Source organism: Homo sapiens, chromosome 11, assembly GCF_000001405.40.
Source record: "Homo sapiens chromosome 11, GRCh38.p14 Primary Assembly".
Classification (NCBI taxonomy): Eukaryota; Metazoa; Chordata; class Mammalia; order Primates; family Hominidae; genus Homo; species Homo sapiens.
Genome location: NC_000011.10, coordinates 44,362,196 through 44,365,701, shown reverse-complemented (window position 1 = coordinate 44,365,701; position 3,506 = coordinate 44,362,196). Strand labels below are relative to the sequence as shown.

At 48.1% G+C, this 3,506-nt stretch overlaps 1 annotated feature.

Annotated features, from left to right (window-relative positions):
- Positions 244-743: an enhancer, noted in NCBI's record as "H3K4me1 hESC enhancer chr11:44386509-44387008 (GRCh37/hg19 assembly coordinates)". NCBI's record gives its function as "activates a minimal SCP1, AML or CMV promoter by ChIP-STARR-seq in naive H9 embryonic stem cells {active_cell/tissue: H9 hESC(naive)}" and the evidence as "EXISTENCE:reporter gene assay evidence [ECO:0000049][PMID:30033119]".

Sequence of the window (3,506 nt, the reverse complement as noted above, 5' to 3'; positions counted from 1 at the left end):
AAGCAGGTACGGGAAGAAGAAAGCATTTATTTATTTATTTATTAAACAGATATGTCTTGAGCCCAGGGCCTGGCACACGGGAGGCCTTCAGCAAATGCTTGTTGATTAAAGAAAGGAGTAGGGAAGCTCCTCCTATGTCCAGGATCCATGGAAGATGCTGGAAATGCAATGGTGAGCGAAGCAGACACTGTGCCTACCCCCGTGGGGTCTATAGTCTGGGGAAAGTTGAGCAGAGTACAGGGGCTTGAACTGAGGGCAGACTCTGTCCAGGCTCTGGGACCTTGCCTTACAGGCCTTATCCCATTAAATCCTCATAACCACCAAGTAAAGTGGATGTTGGTCCTTATAATGAAAAATACTGAGAGTCAGAGACGGTGAGTCACTTGCTCAAGATCACACAGGTGCTGGTTAAATGACAGAGCCAGAGTTTGCAGCTGGGCTCTGAATCCACAGCCTACCCCTCGATGCAGCCATCAGAACCAGGCTGGGGATGGGGGAAAGAATTCCAAAGTCTTCCAGGTGGAGCCGCCACAAAGGAATGGTTTTATTTAATGGCATGGGAGTGGGAGGGAGGGGGCGTTTTCCCTGTCCCCACCCTGACACCACGGTGAACCTTGAACTGCTAAATTGAGTGAGATGGAGCAGGGCAAAAGGTGAAGGGAGCCTGCTTGCAGCCCACGGGGCTGGGGAAATGAGCTAATTAGGACCTTTCAGCGGTGCCGGCCCACAGCTGGGCAGCCCAGCTGGTTCTGGGTGGACAGAGTCCTCCCTGGCCCTGAGTTCAGAGGGTGAGCCCTGCCTTACAAGCAGGATGGTTTCATCCCTGCTTGTCTGCTCCACTAAGCCCTCAGGTGCCACAGCCAGGAAAAGGAGCCAGACCCATACAACCCTGTGGAGAGACAGCTCACTGTTACCTTGGGGATGGTGGCTTCCAGGCCGTGTCTGGCAGGGAGACTTATGTCTTCCAACTTCCTGGTTTTATTTTGGCCTTGGCCTTGTGGTGTCCATGAATTCACTGGCCTGGACTGTGAGTGCCAGGACTCAGGAATGAGTCTGCCCAGTTCACCACTGACTCCCCAGTACTCAGCACCCAGCACCCAGGATAGGGCCTGGTACCACACTGGTGCTCCATAAATATTTTTTGAATGAATTAAGAAAGAAACCAGCTGTGTAAATTACAAAGGTGTATACTGGCCTTTTCTGGCCAGTGTGGGAGTGATTTGGGCTTGATTTTATTTTGCTTTGACAGGATTCATTCAAGTCACACTTGCTGATCACTAACTCTGTACTGGGCACTGGGAATTCGGAGCTTCAGTGAGCTGCCAGGGAGCTGAGTCCAATGAACAAGATTCATAATTATTTCTAGATATCTAAGTCTATGATACAGCCTGTGCTCACAATTATTTTTAGATATCTAAGCCTGTAATAGTCAAAAAAAATGTTTCTCAGAGGAGGTGGCATTGGAGCACATCCTGAAAGGAGGAGCGAGGGTAATTGAGTGGGGAAGAGGGGTTGGCCACCAAATGCCAAGTCATCTGCAGGAGTGGGAACATAGGATTCTGTACGTTGCAGTCATGAGAAGCCATCCCTGCATGGCTCAAACATTCATAAGTTGAGCATAAAATCCCTGCCCCACGGCCTCTGTTGCCAATCCTAGATACAGGGCTCTCAGGGAGGCAAGGAGAGCTCTAATCTAATTCAGAAGAGGGACCCAGGGGAAATGGAAGCTAAAGTTTATTGAGTACCTAGGCAGGCCCTGGATAAGTAGTGGGAGTGAAAACAGACAAGGTCTTGGCTCTCTGGGAGTTTCTAATGGGGAAGAGTGATGTCAAACACTCACACAAGACACAATAGACATAAACAGGGTGGGAGCTGTGAGGACAAGACACAAACTATATCACAGTGGAGCTCACTCAATCGGCAAAGTGGGTGTAAAGAGCAGGAAAGATTTGTAGAATAGCTGATGCCTAAGCTTTTCACATTTACTTCCTTGTCAAGCACTCAGCATAGTGCCTAGCCTAGTAAAGCTCAACGAATGGTAGCAAATACAATGTTACTATGAATTCACTTCATCTAAACCATCACGCTGCAAGGAAGGTACCAAGATGATCCCCATTTTACAGATGAGGAAACTAAAGACCAGAGGTGCCAAGTCACTTGCCCAGGGTTCCAATGTGGCTGTGGGAAGAAGCTGGGATTTGAACCCAGGCAGGTCTGGCCAGCTCTTCACAACCCACACTGCCTCCTGTTTCCCCAAACCTAATTTGGGAAGATGGGGGTGGGAGTCTTCAGTCTCCCTTATGGAAAACTGAATCCATTTATCAACAAATCCCTCAATTCTTTAAACAAAGTAATGCATGAGAAAGCATCTGGCACAGGCCAAGCTCATGGTGCCCAACAAATTCCACTGTCAAAACTCTCAGGACCAGAGCGGCCTTAAAGAGAAAGTGACTCAATAAAGATTAATCTGGTCATCTCTTGAAACACTTTTTATTTTTCTAAGGGAGTTTCTATTAAACAGACGGATAAGAACACAGGTTAAAGTCAAAATATGTGTTCATAGTCGTTTTAATCATTACTGCTATTGTTTGCAAACCCATGTAAGTCTCTGTGTGATAAAGACCTGGGGACACAGACATGGAGAAGAGTCAGGTTCTCAAGGAAGTCACACCCTCAGCTAAGGAGACAAAACAGAAACGTCTGGATGGCTGGAAAGTTAAGTAATAATATCAAGCAAGAAGGGACAATTTGATCAAAAGACATCACTCCCTTAATTGTAAAGGGACTGGTTCAGACCAGTGAATTTAAGGCTGTAGCCATCATGGCGGGGCAGAGGGTAGAGAAAGGTTTCCCATGGAAGGAGGAACATTGCTAGGTCTTGAAACATGGGGAAAATCTGATTAGACAGGGATGGGGGCTGGGTTGGAGCAACCATCCTGTTGGTTTCCGTCGTTCTTGAAATAAATATCTTTGGCATGTAGAGCAGCCCGCATCGGCTCTCTGAAGAACAAGACAGCATTTTATTAAGGAAAAAAAAATCCAATTTGGGGTCAGTGGACAGAAGAGAAGAGAAGGGTAGGAAGAGAACACACTCTGTCATCCCTAGTGAAGGCTGAAACTGCTTGCCCACGCAGAAAATGACATGTCCGGACACTGGAGAAAGTGGCCCCACCAGCAGGAAGCATGAGTGGCCCCTTGCCTGACCATGGGAAGATTTTTCAATTTTCCTAATGTTCTCCAGGAGGCCTGGTCTTACAGAGAAGAAATGCCAAAACTGGCCAAGAAAATAGAAAGTAGGAGTTTTCTGCTTAGAACAGCTCGAAAAACCTAGAAGTGGAGGAGTGGTGCGGCTCCTCGTGGGACGTGTTGATCACGCTCTGTCTTGTAGGAATGGCTCAGAGTGTGGCGGTGATCGTGGCTGGAGCCCCCTGCCTTCTGTGGCCCACCCCATCCCCCAACCCCCAGGTCCAGGTCGCCAGGTCCCCCACTTCAAGGTCGTTAGCTCA